The 19,815-nt window shown below is 39.1% G+C and overlaps 1 long non-coding RNA gene across 2 annotated transcripts in view, besides 1 other annotated feature; it reads left to right on the plus strand.

Moving 5' to 3' along the window:
- The first annotated feature begins 2,690 nt into the window (after positions 1–2,690).
- Positions 2,691–19,815, plus strand: part of LOC105377002 (uncharacterized) — a 64,826-nt gene continuing 47,701 nt past the window's right edge. For both annotated transcript variants that reach the window (XR_940663.2, XR_001740551.1), the window contains exons 1-2: positions 2,691–2,732; positions 4,359–4,428. This is a non-coding gene — a long non-coding RNA (uncharacterized LOC105377002). The remainder of the gene's footprint in view (positions 2,733–4,358; positions 4,429–19,815) is intronic.
- Positions 16,705–17,219: an enhancer, noted in NCBI's record as "NANOG hESC enhancer chr3:26199155-26199669 (GRCh37/hg19 assembly coordinates)". NCBI's record gives its function as "activates a minimal SCP1, AML or CMV promoter by ChIP-STARR-seq in naive H9 embryonic stem cells {active_cell/tissue: H9 hESC(naive)}" and the evidence as "EXISTENCE:reporter gene assay evidence [ECO:0000049][PMID:30033119]".

The following is a 19,815-nucleotide window of genomic DNA, read 5'->3' on the forward strand; positions in this document are numbered from 1 at the left end:
TGAATATTTCCCCTGTTATTTCCCTAAAGCACTCATCTGTGATTTCAAATATCATTAAGATTTCCATGGTAAATTAGCTTCCAATTCTTGGTCTGTCTGAGGCCACAGCATGTCTGTTCAAACAGGACTACCAGCACCCTTTGATGGGAAGAGATACAAACAACCCATTGAAGGGAGTCGGGTAATCTTTGTCTTAGGAAAAAAAACCACAAAGATGGGAGAGATGGTATATGTTTACATGACACATGCCCCAGAAGATCCTGCTATGTGATGTTCTTGATTCTATTGATTATTTCTGTGCTGGAAACCCCTGGTGGTGAAGTCATATTTTGATCTGATTGCTGTTTAGACCCCACACTGTTTTGTAAACAAAGGCTATAAGATGTCTAAGGCCACTGTCCTTGTCAGTTTTCTCTGGTTTCTTCAAAGTAACCGAGTGCAGCTTCATGCCTCCAGCAAAAATAATTATCATTGGATTTAAGCTGGTTTCATGGGTAACAGCAAGAAAGCATCACAACATTCTCCTAAGACAGCTATATTGATCTGCATCATTTCACTCAGGTTTCCCACTATGTTGCAATACATTTAGAGAGCCAAGCTGCAGGAAACCTACTTCCACCACTGTGCCTTGTTTCATCTATTGAAATAAAAGAAAAACCAGTCTAGAGTCACTCCATGTTGAGCTGGCCTGGATTTTGTATTTCATCACAATTGTATGTGTTCCAGAGAATGAATGAATATAAATACATCACTGGCAATAGGGCACATTGTTACAAGCAAGAAAAGTGAAGGAGAGAAGGAAGAAAGGGAAGCAGGAAGAAAAGAAGCACTATGCCAGTATACAACGTAAATACATGAGCATGATGCTATCCTTATAAAAGATTGATAAATCTACCCTAACAATTTTACATAGGCCAATGCGTTTTAAGCGCTAGATTTCAAATTTTCCTCAAAAATCTATACTATAATTTGGTAATTGCATTCAGTATTGAAAGTGAATTTTTTAACCACATTCTGGAAAACAAACATTATGTATACTTTTGTATACACCTACAGATTTAGAATTTGTGAATTAAACAGAGGTTGGTCTGAAGTTGTGCTCTCTGTTATGGGAAAAACATTATTTCTCATTCTGTACATATGCTCTTAAATGTTGCTTTCCCCATGATTACTGACAGTTTTCTGAGGAAATGGCTGTGTCTGTGGGGGCTGATCTATAGTGAATAAGCTATCTGTAAGTATTCTCAGTGATGGGGTACTGAAAAAGATGTGGGAAAAACAAGGTGGAATCAAAAAATTGATGGGAAGAGTTATGAACCAGCTACTAGGAGGCAGTGGACGTAGAAAGCAATGGAGACTGTCTATAGGACCCTCGTTTGCAGTATTACTGGTTCTAGAGAGGAGAGAACTACTTACACGTGTTGATCATTTACCAGAGTTAGACTGCTTTATGTAAGTCTTCTCATTTAATGTTATCATCTGATCATGAGAGGTAGCAATTTTTAAATTTTATTTCATAGGACAGGCAATAAATCCTGTGAGATTATGTAATGTTCCAAGAGTTGCACAATTAGAAAGGAAAAGAGGATTTGAACTCTAGTCTGTTCAACTTCAACTTTACTCTTGTGGCAGAAAGTATTTTCTAAAGATGAATCCAACATTATCTACCATTCCTCAAGCTCTTCTCCAGAGTGATTTTGCCAGTCCCAATCAGAGATGGTGTCTAAATTCCCTTCCCCTCACCCCTGTTAAAATGGCTTATATCCAAAAGACAGGCAATAACAAATGCTGGCGAGGATGTGGAGGAAAGGGAACCCTTGTGCACTGTTGACAGGGATGTAAGTTAGTACAGCCACTATGGAGAACAGTTTGGAGGTACCTTAGAAAACCACAAATTGAGCTACCTTATGATCCAGCACTCCCACTGCTGGATATATACCCAAAAGAAAGGAAATCAGTATATCAAAGAGATATCCACACTGTTATGTTTGTTGCAGCACTGTTTACAATAGCTAAGATTTGGAAGCAAGTTAAGTGTCCATCAACAGATGAATGGATAAAGAAAATATGGCACATATACACAATAGAGTACTATTCAGCCCTAAACGGAGTGAGATCCAGTTGTTTGCAACAAAGTGGATGGAAGGAGATCATCATGTTGAGTGAAATAAGCCAGGCACAGAAGGACAAATGTCACATGTTCTAACTTATTACTGGGATCTAAAAATCAAATCACTTGAACTCATGGACACACAGAGTAGAAGGATGGTGACCAGAGGCTGGGAAGGGTAGTGGGGTGTTGGAGGGGAGGTGGGGATAATTAATGGGTACAAAAAAAATAGAAAAAATGAATAAGACCAAGTATTTCATAGCCACAACACAGGGTGACTATAGTCAATAATAACTTGACTGTATGTTTTAAAATAAAGAGTGTAATTGGATTGTTTGTAACTCAAAGTTCAAAGGATAAATGCTTAAGGGGATGGATACACCATTCTCCATGATGTGCTTATTTCACATTGCATGCCTGTATCAAAACATCTCATATACCCATAAATATAGACACCTACTATATACCCACAAATTTAACAATATATATGTATATTTGAGACAGAGTCTCACTGTGTTTCCCAGGTTGGAGTGCAATGGTACGATCTCAGCTCGCTGCAAACTCCACCTCCCGGGTTCAAGCGATTCTCCTGCCTCAGCCTCCCAAGTAGCTGGGATTACAGGTATGTGCCACCATGCCTGGCTAATTAAAAAAATATTTAAAAAAATACATTATCTCCCCTTGAATCTAGGCTGGTCTATAACTCAACTTGTAACCAACAGAATATAGTTACACTCTGTGACACTAACATCTACATCAGAAAAGGTCCAATGTCCAAAGAAGCTTCTACTCAGTTCTCTTGGGACACTTGCTCTGGGGAAAGCAATTGCCATGGTAGAAGTCTGACTACACTGAGGCTCTCATGTTGGAAAGGCAATATTAGTGACTCCTGTGAATAGTTCTAGCTGAGCCCAGCCTTCCAGCCACCCCTGCCAATGTACCAGATGTAAGTGTAAAGCCACCTTGGATTTTCCAGGCCAGCATATCTGCCTCCTGGGTACCACCAAGTACCCCAGTCAATACTACACGAAGCAGAATAGTTTAACCAAGATCTGCTCACATTCTTGACTCATAGTCATGAGGTTCAACAAATTTGGAGTAGTTTGTTATGTAGAAGTAGTAACTGGAATAGCTTATAACCATATGGTTGGGCTGGGAGCAGTGGCTCACACCTATAATCCCAGCAGTTTGGGAGTCCAACATGAAAGGATTTCTTGAGGCCAGGAGTTCCAGACAAGCCTGGGCAACATAGACTCCAACTCTACAAAAAATAAAAAAATTAACTGGGTGTGGTGGCATGTACCTATAGTTCTAGCTACTCAGGAGGCTGAAGTGGGAGGACTGCTTGAGCCCAGGAGTTGAAGGTTACAGTGGGCTATGATTGTGCCACTGCACTTCAGCCTGGGTGACAGAGTGAGGCCCTGTGTCTAAAACCAACCAACCAAACAACAAAAGATATGTTGCTCTTTTTCCCAAAGCCAGGCAAAAGTAGAAACAGAAAAAGACCTGCATCTTAGTAGCTGGGAGAACTTTGACAGCCTCATCTGAGACTAGCTAGAAACAAGTTGAAACTGAGAAAAAGTTTTCACAAGAATAGGTAAAGAAGGACTGGGCTGAGGACAGGGTAATTGGAAAATCTAGAGTAAAAAGTAAACGTAAGTGTTACATCCTTGAAATAGCTCCCAATCTTGTCTGCGTTTCCTTCTTCCTTTCAATAAGGCTTTTCAGTTCTAAACTTATACTATTATCTAAAATCAGCTTAGTTATCTTACCCTTTACCTTAAAATACTCTGCTCTACTCACTGATGTCTACAAAATAGAGTCCAAATTTAACTTGTTTAGTCCAGTATAAAGGCAAAGAAGGGTGAGAGGTCCAGAGTCAGAAGACGTGAAGGTTAAATTTCTAAGCAGAAAACCTTGTTCTCTGTCATTGTTCTTGTGTCCTATTTCTGGATATGCAGCATCTAATATGAACAAAATAATGTAAAGAATATTTTCTGGGTTAACATACTTTTTCTATGAGATGCATCCTTACAGACCGATAACTCAAGCTGATGCTTTATAAATTTTTTGGAAATTCTCAGTAAGTTTTACTATGGTCGCCCTTTCCACATAAAATTTAAGGCCTAAGATCCCAGTTATTTATGGCATTTGCTCCATTAAAAAAGACAGGAGGGAGGTGTCTGTACATTAAAATTGCTAGGCTAGCAAGTGGCCTAGATGGTTCAAGGTTATATTTCCCTTCTAGGTTTATGGAGAAGTAAATTATCCAAAGCACATGGAAGAATCCTCAAGCCTGCAAATACTATGACATAAGTGTAAGTGTAAGAAATGTTCCCAAGAAAATTATTCTTATGGATTATGATTAATAGAGATCTGTAAGGCAGTTGTGAGATTTGTCAGGGGACTCCTCATTTTTCACCGCAACAGAAAACTCTGTTTGTGCCTCATGGTATTTAATATTTGAAGACACTGTTGTGGGAAAGGTGGTGGCTACCTCAGTGCTGTTCATTACTTGGTGACTAAGCTTAGTGGCAATACAGTGAGGTGAAGCATCATCAGTGGTAACGAAGTTGTGAGTGTAGCAGATGCTGGGGTGGGGGTGCTCAGTGGGAAAGAAGTTGTTGGTGTAGCAGAAGCTGGGGTAGGAGTGCTCAGTCTTGGAGATGGTTTGAAATGGATGCTCAGGGTTAATGCTGCAGATCTTCTCAAGAAACTCTGTCAGAAAATGTTACCCATGAAAATGTGTCTTGACCTTTGGCCTGCTATTCACCTCCCTCCCCAGCTTCTGTCGTCTACAATTTGGAATTAGCTTTTAGTCTCTGATTTATTATTCTCAACCATACTTGTACTTGGCATCTTCTTTTAATTAACTTATAGGTGACTTTAGCCCACGTTCTGCTTTTTCTCTCACCATATGCCAGGTTCTGAGAAGCCAGCATATCACAGCCTTTGAGAGCTTTGTCATTGAATTAGCCCCTACTTGGGTTTGACTGACCTCAGCCTTGGCTTTTGTTAATTTTATTATCTTGGGAAAACTATTTATCCTCTCTCAGCATCTTTTCGTATTACTTGAAAAGTGGTTTTAATAAATGTGCTTGCTCAAAGGGTTGTTATGGAAGTTAAAAAAAAGTGCTAAAAACAGCCTTTACTTTTGCTGTTGTTAATTCTCTTATGTATATAATATTGGCCCATTTCCTGTTTTTAATTTTGCTCTTCTAACCCTGCCTTATCAACTTGAAGGACTCATAGCCTGTTTTCCTGCTATTTGCTCAAGATGGAACAGGTGTAATAACAATGCACGAGTGCAGAGATACTATTCAATATTTGCTAGACTCTTGTAAGGATCTATAGAACAACACTTTTGTAGAAGAAAGGGATGATAGAAATGAAAACCTCTGGGAGAACTCAAGTATTTAAAAAAATATTTGAAGTAGTCTCATCATACACAGAAGATGGATGGTGTGAACTGCTCTTCTACGTACTTTGGGATGGCAAAGATCCTATTTGTCATGCTAATTTTAGTATCTTCAGAACTTCATGCCCTTTGCATAGAATATGCTCAATAAATATTTGCTGAATGAAAGAACAGGTTGTACATATGCTGGAAGCATTGTCCCAATATCAGCAGTGTTTTCTGAGAAAATGGCTCTGCAGGCTCCAATTTATTTGTCCTTTTTTTCCTTCTGATATGGTTTGGCTGTGTCCCCACCCAAAAATCTCATCTTGAATTGTAATCCCCATAATCCTCATAATCCCCATGTGTCAAGGGAGAGACCAGGTGGGGGTAATTGAATCATGGGGGTGGTTTCCTCCATGCTGTTCTCATGATAGTGAGTTCTCAGGAGATCTGATGGTCTTATGTGTTCGGTAGTTCCTCCTGCATTCATTCTCCTTCCTGCTGCCATGTGAAAAAGGTGCCTTGCTTCCCCTTTGCCTTCCACCATGATTGTAAGTTTCCTGAGGCCTTTCCAGCCATGCAGAACGGTGAGTCAATTAAACCTCTTTTCTTTATAAATTACCCAGTCCCAGCAGTTCTTTATAGCAGTGTAAGAATGGATGGATACTCCTTCCTTCCTTCCTTCCTTCTTCCCTTCCTTCCTTCCTCCCTTCCTCCTTCTCTCCCTCCCTCCCTTCCTTCCTCCTTTTCGCTCCTATTTAGTCTCATATTTTCTTCTTTCTGAAACAGCTTAATATAGTGTGAGATGTTTGAATTCTTAAGTACTCTGTTGTTCTCACAGAGATTTCATCAAACATAGCATCCCAGTTTTCACATTAGTGCAGAAAATTACAACAAATTTTGATATATTTTTATATATTTGTTGCTGCTATTATCATTATCATCATCATTGTGACTATACCAGTGTTAAAACCAGGGACTTGAGATTAAGTTCTACCTCTTTTGTTACTTATGTTTGGTCCATCAATCAGCAGCATCACCTGGGACCTTATTAGAAATGCAGAATCTCAGAACTTACTCAAGACTTCATAATTTAACAAGGCCCTCCAAGTGATTTACATGCTCACTAAAGTGTGAAAAGCCCTGGTCTAGATCAAGCAACAGGTAGAAGGGAAGGTAATCAATGCAGGGTGGAGGTTAAATAGTTTTAGTCTGTGTGCTGATGCCACAAGGCCGAAAGAGTTTTCCTAGACAAGGCTTTATTGGAGTTTATGTCCCAGCATAAGGGAGGCAGAATGAGAGAGAGAGAGAGAGAAAGAGAGAAATTCTCTGGTGACCCCTCAGAGGGAATTGAAAAGGAAGTTTTAAAGGGTTATGGCAGAAAGGAAGTAATGTTTAGGTAGGTAGAGGTGGGGAAATAGTGGCACCTGTGCGCTTTAATAATATGCTTCTTCATGCATCACATGTTCCATTAGCACATTAAATTTACACCCCTCGATCATCATGGTGGACAGGAGGCAGAACTAGATTGTAGCTCCAACTCAGACAGAGCAGCGTGTAAAGGCTTGGATCATGAATTTTAGCTCCAGGATGACTGCAAGAGCAAACCAGGAATCCCGAGAGGACCCACAGACTCTGTGAAGGAAGCAGACTGCTCCTGCAGGACCCAAGAGACATCCCAGACTCTGCTCCCAAACACACAGCCCCACTGGAGAAACTGAAAGTCTAGTTTGCTGGAGGAATTTCTGACCTTACCTGGATCTGAGTTGATTTAGAGAGCCGAGCAAAATATAGGGGTAGAGGAAGCAGTGGGAAAGGTCCTGGAAGCTTGCTGGGTCCCCAAGCACGTGTTCTTGCCTGGCATCACAGGGATCTGGGTGGGGCAGCCAGTGGTGTGAGGAAAATGCCACAGGGAGAAGGAAGTCTCCAGCTGAATTTAGTAACAATTTGAACCAGGTGAGAAGCCTCCTGGCAAGAACTCCAGGGAGGGTGTGAATCTGGTGTGCAGACTCCACAGGCGGGGGGAAAAAACCAAAGCCCCTTTCTTTTGCAGTTGGGAGGGGGTAGCCTGGGGCAAGTTCTCAAGTCCTGCTTGCCCACTGCCTGGAAACAGACTCAGTGCTTTTAGGGGAGACATGGTGGGAGGGAGACTGGCCCTTTGGATTGCATGGGAGCTGGGTGAGGCCTGTGACTGCTGGTTTTTCCCCACTTCCTTGACAACCTGCATGACTCAGTAGAGGCAGCCATTATCCTTCTAGGTACACAAATTCATTGTCCTGGGAACCTCATCCCCATCCCCCACAGCAGCCATGGCAAGATCCACCCAAGGAGAGTCTGAGCTCAGACACACCTAGCCCTGCCCCCGCCTGATAGGCCTTCCCTACCCACCAACATAGCTGAAGACAAAAGGCATATACTTTTGGGAGTTCTAGGGCCCTGCCCACCACCAGTTTATCTCCATACTACCACAACTGATTATTTCCATAAAGCACCACCTCTTGGCAGGAGGCCAGGCAGCACAAAAATAGAACATTAAACGACCAAAGCTAAGAACCCTCAGAGAGTCCATTTCCACCTGCCTGCCACCTCCACTTAAAGTAAAGGGGTGGAAAAAGGCATTTCATGCAAATGAACACCAAAAGCGAGCAGGAGTAACAATTCTTATATTAGAAAAAACAAACTTTAAACCAACAGCAGCAGTTGAAAGCGACAAAGAAGGACATTATATAATGGTAAAAGGCCTTGGTCCAACAGAAAAATATCACAATACTAAACATATATGCACCTATTACTGGAACTCCCAAATTTATAAAACAGTTACTAATAGACCTAAGAAATGAGATAGACAGCAACACAATAATGGGGGGCACTTCAATACTCCACTGACTGAACTACGCAGGTCATCAAGACAGAAAGTCAACAAAGAAAAAATGGATTTTAGCTATACCTTGGAACAAATGGACTTAACAGATATATAAAGAACATTTCATACAACAATCAAAGAATGCACATTCTTTTCAACAGTGCATGGAACTTTCTCAAAGATAGAGCATGTAATAGGCCACAAAATGAACCTCACAAAATTTGAGAAAATTGAAATTATATCGAACACTCTCTCAGACCACAGTGGAATAAAATTGGAAATCAACTCCAAAAGGAACCTTCAAAACCATGCAAATACATGGAAATTAAATAACCTGCTCCTGAATGATCACTGGGTCAAAAACGAAATCAAGATGGAAATTAAAAAATTCTTTGAACTGAATGACAATAATGATACAACCTATCAAAGCCTCTGGGATACAGCAAAGGCAGTGCTGAGAGGAAAGTTCATAGTTGTAAACACCTACATCAAAAAGACTGAAAGAGCACAAGATTACATTCTAAGGTTAACACCTCAAGGAGCTAGAGAAAAAAGAACAAACCAAATCCAAACCCAGCAGAAGAACGGAAATAGCATGATCAAAGCAGAACTAAAGGAAATTGAAACAAAATACAATACAAAAGATAAATGAAACAAAAGGCTACATAAAAGATACATAAAATTGATAGATCATTAGCAAGATTAACCAAGAAAAGAGGGAAAATTCAAACAACCTCATTAAGAAATGAAACAGGAGATATTACAACTGACATCAAAGAAATACAAAAGATCATTCAAAGCTACTATGAACCACTTTACCTGCATAAACTAGAAAACCTAGAAGAGGTTGATAAATTCCTGGAAATACACAACCCTCCTAGCTTAAGCAGGAATAATTAGATATCCTGAACAGACCAATAACAAGAAGTGAGATTAAAATGGTAATTAAAAAATTACCAACCAAAACAAAAAAATCCAGGACCAAATGGATTCACAGCAGAATTATACCAAAAATTCAAAGACGAACTGGTGCCAATCTTATTGACACTATTCCGCAAGATGGAGAAAGAGGGAACCCTTCTAAATCATTCTATGAAGCCAGTATGATCCTAATAACAAAATCAGAAAAGGACATAACAAAAAAAGAAATCTACAGACCAATATCCCTGATGAACATAGCTGCTAAAATCCTTAACAAAATACTAGCTAACCAAATCCAACAGCATATCAAAAAGATAATTCATGATTATCAAGTGGGTTTCATTCCATGGATGCAAGGATAGTTTTATAATAAATGTGATACACCACATAAACAGAATTAAAAACAAAAATCACATGATCATCTCAATAGATGCAGAAAAAGCATTCAACAAAATCCAGCATCCTTCTATGATTAAAACTCTCAGCAGAATCGGCATACAAGGGACATACCTCAATGTAATAAAAGCCATGTATGCCAAACCCACAGCTAACATGATACTGAATGGGGAAAAGTTGAAAGCATTCACTGTGAGAACTGGAATAAGACAAGGATGCCCACTCACACCGCTTCTCTTCAACACAGTACTGGAAGTCCTAGCCAGATCAATCAGATGATAGAAGGAAATAAAGGGGATCCAAATCAGTAAAGAGGAAGTCAAACTGTCACTGTTTCCTGATGATATTATAATTTACTTAAAAAATCGTAAAGACTCCAGACAGCTTCTAGAACTGATAAAAGAATTCAGCAAAGTTTCCAGTTACAGGATTAATATATACAAATAAGTAGCTCTTCTATGCATCAATAGGGACCAAGGGGGAAAATCAAATCAAGAACTCAACCCCTTTTACAATAGCTGCAAAAAAATAATAAAATACTTAGGAATTAACTACCCAAGGAGGCAAAAGACATCTACAAGAAAAACTAGAAAACACTGCTGAAAGAAATCGTAGATGACACAAACAGATGGAAACACATCCCATGCTCATGGATGGGTAGAATCAATGTTGTAAAAATGACCATACTACCAAAAGTAATCTACAAATTCAATGCAATTCCCATAAAAATACCACCATCATTCTTTACAGAATTAGATAAAAACATTTCTAAATTTCATATGGAACCAAAAAAGAGCCTGCATAGCCAAAGTAAGACTAAGCAAAAAGAACACATCTGGAGGCATCACACTACCTGATTTCAAACTATACTGTAAGGCCGTAGTCACCAAAACAGCATGGTACTGGTATCAAAGTAGGCACATAGACCCATGGAACAGAATAGAGAACCCAGAAATAAACCCAAATACAGCTAACTGATCTTCGACAAAGCAATCAAAAACATAAAGTGGGGAAAGAACACCCTTTTCAACAAATGGTACCGGAATAATTGGCTAGCCACATGTAGGAGAATGAAACTGGATCCTCATCTCTCAATTTATACAAAAATAAACTCAAGATGAATTAAACCTAAGACCTGAAACTTTGGAATTTCTGGAACATAACATTGGAAAAACCCTTCTAGACATTGGCTTAGGCAAGGATTTCATGACCAAGAACCCCAAAGCAAATGCAAAAAAAAACCAATTATAAATAGCTGGGACTTAATAAACTAAAAAGCTTTTGCATGGCAAAAGGAACAGTCTACAGATTAAACAGACAACCCACAGAGTGGGAGAAAATCTTCACAATCTATACATCTGACAAAGGACTAATATCCAGAATCTACAACAAACTCAAGCAAATCAGTAAGAAAAATCAGTGCCATCAAAAAGTGTGCTAAGGACATGAATAGACAATTCTCAAAAGAAGATATGTGAAAGGCCAACAAACAAATGAAAAAATGCTCAACATCCCTAATGATCAGGGAAATAAAAATCAAAACCACAATGTGATACCACCTGCATTCTTACTCCTGCAAGAATGGCCATCCATAATCAAAAAATAAAACAGTAGATGTTGGCATGATGTGGTGATCGGGGAATTCCTTCTACACTGCTGGTGGGAATGTATACTAGTATAGCCACTATGGGAAACAGTGTGGAGATTCGGTAAAGAACTAAAAGTAGATCTACCACTTGATCCAGCAATCCCACTATTAGGTATCTACCCAGAGGAAAAGAAATCATTATACGAAAAAGATACTTGCACAAGCATGTTTATAGCAGCACAATTCACAATTGCAAAATTGTGGAACCAACCCAAATGCCCATAAATCGAGTGGATAAACTGTGATTGATACATATATATATAGATATATATATATATATAGATATATATATACACACACCATGAAATACTACTCAGCCATAACAAGAAATGATTTAATGGCATTTGCAGCCACCTCGATGAGATTGGAGACTGTTATTCTAAGCAAAGTAACTCAGGAATGAAAAACTAAACATCGTATGTTCTCATTGATATGTTGGAGCTAAGCTATGAGGACGCAAAGGCATAAGAATGATACAATGGACTTTGGGAACGTGGGCGGAAGCGTGGGAGGGGACAAGGGATAAAAGACTACAACCAGGGTGCAGTGTATACTGCTTGTGTGATGGGTGGACCAAAATCTCACAAATCACCACTAAAGAACTTACTGATGTAACCAAACACCACCTGTATCCCAATAAACTATGGAGAAAAATTCCAAAAAATAAATACGTAAATTTCCACCCCTGGGTGTGACTTTTAATATTACAATGAAGCTAGGGTTTAGGATCAGTTACTCTCGTGGTCTTGTGCACATGCAGGAGATAGGGTAACTCCTTTGAGTAAGATTTATGGTGGGAGCTGCTTATTTTAGCTTCCTCAAGGTCCTGCAACCAGTGGGTATGGTGCTTTGAGCAAGAGGGTACATGGTCTGGAGGGATTGGTTGGGGTCCCTGCCGGCCACACCCAAAGCCCAGCTTGCAGTAGAAGTCCTTGGTGGGACATGGGAGGTGGGGGTGTGGAGACTGGGTCCCATCCCTAATCTGTCTCACTGGCATTGATTCATTTTCAAGGGCTGGCAGGAGCTGGCTAAAGGGATAGTTTGCCTTGGTTTTCCTGCAGGGAGAGGAATACCACAGATAATGTCAGATCTTAGAATAATTATTTAGCTGTCTGTTCAAATCTCTTGCTTATGCTTGCTTAAGAAGAAAATAAAAGGTTCTCATAATTGGAATCCTAGAGAAGGGGCCAGACATCATACTCTGTAGTACTCCCACTATCACCAGTTTTAAGACATGATTTGATCTCTTGCCAAAATGAAGGTCATAGACTATTGATTACCAACCATTCTTGAGAATAAATTTACTTTGTTAATTCTCTCCACCTTTTTTATTCTGAACTTTGCTAGGGAATTCATCACTGAAAAAGATGTCACTACTGTAGCAAGATCATCTTTACCACTGCAAAACATATTCCTGCCAGAAACAAAAAATGCAGCACTTAATTAAAGAATAAAGAAAGTCACCAAAATATTAGCATTGAACTGTAGCCTCTCACTGTCCTTTTTATATAAGGATCGCACCAGAGGAAAATTAACAACAAGAGACAATCTGAATCTTTCTTTTTCCCTTGTCCTCTGATTGAGGAATGACATTGTTCAGCAAATTAAACAGGTAAACAAGATTTTAAGGAGAATGTTTAAATTCCTTAATAGAACAAATTGTTTTTTAACACCCTTAAGCAGCTGTTAGAATCATCAATTTACATACAAGTAATGAATATGCTAATTGCAAATCTTTCTTCTCTAGTCATTAAAATAAGTCTCTTTTGGGACTTCTAAAAGCTTGTTGTTTTTCTGGTTGTAGTTACAATATATACCTGAATGCATTCATTTAAAAATCCTTACAACGTATATATTTTTGCTAATTGAAGTAGGTCTTCCCTCGCCATGTAGTTGAGTTTGTGAGATTCTACTACATGTAAACGTGTACAAACTTGCAAATAAATTTTAAACTTTATTATTCTGCAAATAATTTAACCAGTCTATGAATTTCTCACTAATCTTTCCACCTTTATCTGGTTTAACCTAGTTACGATGTATTCTGTGGAAGTGAATATTAGGAGCCCAGAGAATTATGATATTATTGCTTTGGGTCATAATTTCAATTGTTGCTGATATTCCTATACTTTCAGGGTATAACTTATTTTAAGTGTAACCAATTGCTTTTGGATCCTGAGCTTGTGGGACTTATTAATCTGCATGAATAATTTGCATTAATGTGAATGGGAATATAATTATTCCTGAATTGTTCATTACTTATAGATGTTATTCTGAGTACAATTGCTTCCTTGAAAATATCAAACATAGTATTTATTTTATTTTGTACATGTGACAGTTTGTATACTTAAGTATAACAATTAACATTAACCCAGGAAAACTTGAGGGAGCAATGGCATAGATGTTAACAGGTACCTGTGGTAAGATGGTTATCTCAATTAGGTACTGAGTTTGACTGGTAAACTCAAAGTGGTTAAAGAAATAATAAGAAGTCATCTTGTATTACAGGATCCTATTATTGCCCATTTTCAATCCCTGGTTTAGAACTTCGAGTAGTTTATATTTTAAGAAACTTAACCTGGATTGACTATTAAAATTCAACTAAGAATACTGCCAGGTAAGCACAGTGACAAGACTCAGCTGTGACTGAAACATGGATATTGAATAATTTGGAAGAAACTGATTTTTGGAAAGAACTCAAAGCAATAATAAGATGTTACCCATTTATGTGTAAAATCTAATCATGTATTTATAATTCCAAAATGAATTTTTATATGATTAATAAATAATAGACTGATTTTAAAAGATGTAAGAATACAAAACAGAAGAAATCCTAAAATTATTTTTTGCTTTATATATATTAAAATTTTTCTCCAAAATGGACTCAAAATTTACTCAAGCACCTTGCAATTCTGTTAATGAGCTCTCCTGCCACTTTTGTGGTCAGGATTAGAGAAGTTTCTACTGAGTTTCAATTTTCCCCTAACCAGTTAAGTATCTTTTATAGAGAGTGGGCTAACCATAACTTTCTTTGACTCCTCATCAACTTGTAATCTGGAGATTGATATTTTTTAACTAACATTCTTTGCCATTTTCTTTACAGCTCTAAGTTCCCATTTCTCTAGGATTTTCTACCATCCCTCTTTATTTAGAAAATAAACTGGCTTTCAGAGTTGTCTTAAGTATCAAGCAACTAGAGCTATTTTAGTAACAAGTCATACTCTCTTAATTCATCCTTAAAAGCCCCTTCCCTCCTCGCTTCCCTTACTTTCCTTTGTAAACCTTTACATATGTAGTTCACAATTACATACATGTTTATTGAATTGAAAATGAGAAAGTAACATTTTATAACCTGGAAACGTGTTGCATAATATTCATCTGTAAATAAACCTTGAAATTAAGCTTAAAGATGGATTTATCCTCTAGATACCAATAGAAAGTATGTTGAGTAAAATACTGGGTAATATCTTCATTTACAAATGTGTGAAAGATGCTCAAATGTTGCTCAAACAACTGAATGTTCTAGTGACCTTATAAGAACATAGATAATAGCATTAAATGTCACCCCAGTAAAAATGTTTTAGGTGCTGTTGATGTTCTAATTTAACATAAGAATGAGACTTTAAAAATCTACAGCAACCCAGAAGAATAAAGTACATGTCTTAAACAAGCATTTAGCAGGTTGTATTTAGATAATAATTTTTCTAATAACTCTCTATAGAGCCAAAATCAGAGTATTTAATAAATTTTTGAACTTCTTCCAAATTATTAACAGAGAAGAATGATGTTGCTAATAACATAGAATCAGAATATACCTATATGCATGGATACATATATATGCAATGTGGATATAAATATACATAAACCCTGATATGGTATTTAAATGTGTACTCTTATCAGAATTAATATCTCCTTATCAGAATTAATGTGATAGACAGTGTACTTTCTTGCAACTAAAAATGAGGGGAAAATAAGGAGAGGAAATATTAAATTCTCCTGGCAAGCTGAGATTAATAATGGGGCCTTAAGAAGAACAGAAAGATATGTTCAAGAAAGCAGCATGAAATCTAACTAACCTAGAATTTGATTGCTGATGGCATATCTTTTGTAATTTTATGTCCCCCATCTCCACCTTCAAAATAGACCCCTACAACTATTTTAGTCTCAGTGTTGTTCAAGTCAGCCAGAACACTCTATGATGCCTTTTGACATGACAGATATTTTTCCTATTCCTTCTCTTCGGGTGTCATAAATACGGCAAGCTATTATGAATCTTAAGGTGAAAACAGAATATCCATACAAAGTGAGCATTTTTTACCCCAGGGGATTATTGATTTGTGCAGTGACTTTTGTCCTTGGCAAATTTCAATTTTCAATGGTGTGCAGTTTTGTAGGTATAAGCCAAACCCCTAGGCCTTTGTTTAATTAATACATACTTTATTGGGAAGCTTGTCTTTCTCCATATAACTTTGCTGTAAACAAAATGAGATTTTGAAAAAAAGAATATACAAAAATGATGGGCTAATGTCAAGGTCAAACTACCTTTTGGTTAGCCTTACAGATTAGTTTTTATTAAAGTTGGAAACCAAATTTTTTTTATGCATGGTCACACAACATTCTAAAGCAAGATTTCTCAATCTTGTTACTGCAGATGGTCCCCGACTTACAATGGTACAGCTGTTTTTTTTCTTTTTTTTTTTTGAGAAGGGGTAGGGCTCACTGCAACCTCCGCCTCCTGGGTCCAAGTGATTCTCTTGCCTCAGCCTCTCGAGTAGTTGGTATTACAGGCACGTGCCACCACGTCTGGCTAATTTTTGTATTTTTAGTAGAGACGGGGTTTCTCCATGTTGGCTAGGCTGGTCTCAAACTCCTGGCCTCAAGTGATCTGCCCACCTCGGTCTCCCACGCCTACCACACCGGGCCACTACGGTACATCTTACCATGATATTTTGACTTTACAATGGCACTGGAAACTGTATTTGAGTACCCACAGAGCCATTCTTTTTTACACTTTCAGTGCAATAGTCAATAAATTACATGAGTTATTCAACACTTTATTATAAGATAGTCTTTTTGTTATGTGATTTTTCCCAACTGTAGGGTAATGTGTTTTGAGCATGTTTATGGGAGGCTAGGATAAGCTACAATGTTCTCTAGGTTAGATGTATTAAATGCATTTTCAACTTACAATATTTTAAATTTATGATGGTGTTATCAGGATGTAACCCCATTGTAAATCGAGGAGCATCAGTATTGACATTTTGGGTTGATTTTTTTTTTTTTAAACTGTGGGGAACTGTCTATGCATCATAGGGTATTTATTTATTTATTTATTTATTTATTTATTTATTTATTTTTGAGCAATAAAGCTTTTTGATCACCTGGGTGCAGGTGGGCTGAGTCCGAAAAGAGAGTCAGCTAAGGGGAGATAGGGGTGGGGCCGTTTTATAAGATTTGGGTAAGTAAAGGAAAATTACAGTCAAAGGGGGGTTGTTCTCTGGCGGGCAGGAGTGGGGGGTCACAAGGTGCTCAGTGGGGGAGCTTTTTGAGCCAGGATGTGCCAGGAGAAGGAATTTCACAAGGTAATGTCATCAGTTAAGGCAAGGACCAGCCATTTTCACTTCTTTTGTAGTGGAATGTCATCAGTTAAAGCAGGAACAGGCCATTTTCACTTCTTTTGTGATTCTTCAGTTACTTCAGGCCATCTGGGTGTATACGTGCAGGTCACAGGGGATACGATGGGTTAGCTTGGGCTCAGAGGCCTGACATTCTTGCCTTCTTATATTAATAAGAAAAATAACATAAAATAGTATTGAAGTGTTGGGACAGTGAAAAAAATATTTTTTTGGGGGGGCGGTGGCATGGAGAGTTAATGGGTGATGTTTCTCAGGGCTGCTTCGAGCAGGATTAGGGGCGGCATGGGAACCTAGAGTGAGAGAGGTCAAGTTGAAGGAGGATTTTGTGGTAAGGGGTGATATCGTGGGGTTGTTATAAGGAGCATTTGTCGTATAGAATGATTGGTGATGGTCTGGATACAGTTTTGGATGAATTGAGAAACTAAATGGAAGATACAAGGTCTGAATAAAAGAAGGAAAAAAATAGGTATTAAAGGACTAAGAATTGGGAGGACCCAGGACATGGAATTAGAGAGTGCCCAAGGGGGTTCAGCATAATTACTTGCTTGGTTGGCAAGTTTTTGGGCTCTATCCTTGAGTTTTTTTATGTTGTCATACACCAGGCCAGATTGATTTAGGTAAAAACAACACTCTTCATTTAAAAATATACAGAGTCCTCCCTTCTCAGCAGTGAGTAAATGAAGGCCTCGGCGGTTTTGGAGGACAACTGCAGCTAGAGTCAACTTGGGCCTGGAGGACTGATAAAGTTTGTGATATGTATGTGATGCTAGCAGAGAAGTCATTAGAGAGGCTACGGAAAGTCGTGACAGAGGTTGCCTGCTATTCCAGTAGGGAGACCAATAGTGGAGGCAGAAAGTCCTAAACCGACAAGCAAGGGAATTAGTGGAATAACTCTTTTTTGTCGTGTCGGTGTCATGAGGGGAACAGGGAGCTCTTCGGTCTCATTTGCAAATTGAATTTAGGTGGTAAGGAAAACTAGTGTGCATGTGCCTGTCCAATTAGCAGGTAGACACATGTAGGTAGAGGATCCACAGAGGAAGAAGAGACCCTGTGCGAGGCAAAACTGGAGATGCAAAGTAAAAAGATGAGAAGGAGTACCGAAAGGAGTGTCTTGTACTGAGACTCCTAGGGATCCAGCTAGGGTGGCAGCTGTCAGAGGTTGTAATGGGGACTGATGAGGTAACTGCATAGAAGGGGAGGTTTGATTTTCATGGTGTATGAGAAAACGTTGAGTATCTACGAGCAACCTTTCACTGTTATTTTCGGGGCTGGGTATAAGTAAACAAGAGGGCCTGGGAGGAGAGTTTGACGAGCAAGGGGAAGGTAGCCAAGGATGGAGTGAAATACAGGGTAAATGTCTTCCTAAGCAATAATTACTGCTATTATTTTTAAGTTTGTCAGTATTGATAGAGGGCTTATCTGTAATATGGAGCTGGAATGCTCCAGTTGTTTCAGTGATGTGTGTAGTTGGTCTTTGGAGATGAAGAGTAAAGGAACATCAAGAAGGTGAAAGGTTACCCAGGGGAATTCCAGTGGGTCTTTGCTGAGAGATACATAAAGGAGTGGCCACAGGAATAGTAGTTTGTGTTGTGAGAGGTCCAAATATGGGGGGAGTAGAGTTGATATAAGGAGAAAGGTTTTTTATGTAAGTGTGGAGGAGGGCGGCAGCTTGCTGGTGTGAAATGTCTGGGGACGTTTTGCTGGACCTGTCTAGAAAGTAAATGAGTTCTTCAGGAGGGTAAAGGTGAGGGCTGTTAAAGGAAGTTTGGAGGTGTAGGGAGACAGGAGATGTTGCCCAGTCTGTCTGTAAGGCGGGGACAGCTGTGTAGGAAGAAGGACAGCTGGAAGAAAGGGAAATGCAAAGCCAGCAGTTGTTCGCTAAGGAGGGATTAGAAGCGGCTAGGAGAGAATGGGTAAGGTTGATAGTGTGGTGGAGATAGCTGGGGAGAGGTAGAGGGTGGCACAAGAATGGGAATGAGAATAAGAGTGAATATAAAAGTAAAGAATATAACTTCATCAGGGTGACAGTATTGGAGGGTCCCCTGCCAGCAAAGATCATCTATCCACTCTAAGAGGGAGTCAAGAGTGGCGGTTTGGGGATAGCACCAAGAGATATCAGCTATGTTGGCTTGGAGAAACAGTGTAAACCAGCAGTGTAAATAAGAGTAGGGCATTTATAAGTAGTTGCGAACGAAGAATAGGAGTATGACTAGACAGAAGATAGGGATGACTAGTTTTGGGGGCTCAGTCCAAGTAGTGGGGGTGACTTTGTAAAGACCTGTTGCAAAAAGTAGGGTAAAGATGAACAGACCTAATAGAATGAAGGGATGTATTAGGCTCATAAGGGTTATTGCTGTTCTTCAGAAATACGAGTGAGTTTAAGGGAAGTAGGGGAGAGTACTTGCGACTTCCAGGAGAAAGAGGAGGGATTAGGCTGGCTGTCCAACCGACACAGCTTTATTCTGAAGCGGTGAACCCAATGGGGAGGGTCCTGCAGGCAGACAGCAGTTGGAGTACTATAGATGACTAAGTAGGGTCTGGTCCATCAAGGTTGTAGAGTTTGAGGGGTCAGATTCTTAACAAGAACTGATCGTCCAGCTAGGATGTCTTCATATGGCTGAGAATCTGGAGTAGGCAAGAGAAGATTAGCAAGAGAAGATTAGACTAGATAGGAATGGCGAATTTCCTGTCTAGTCTGCTGGAGGACTGGAATATATTCACCTAGGGGGCTGGTGTCTGGGACGAGGTTGGGGCTGAGTAAGAAAGCGCATCCGTATACAAGTTCAAATGGACTGTACCCTGTAGCATCTCGAGGACAGGCTCTTAATTCTGAGAAGGGCAAGA

This window comes from Homo sapiens, chromosome 3 (genome assembly GCF_000001405.40).
Source record: "Homo sapiens chromosome 3, GRCh38.p14 Primary Assembly".
Taxonomy (NCBI): Eukaryota; Metazoa; Chordata; class Mammalia; order Primates; family Hominidae; genus Homo; species Homo sapiens.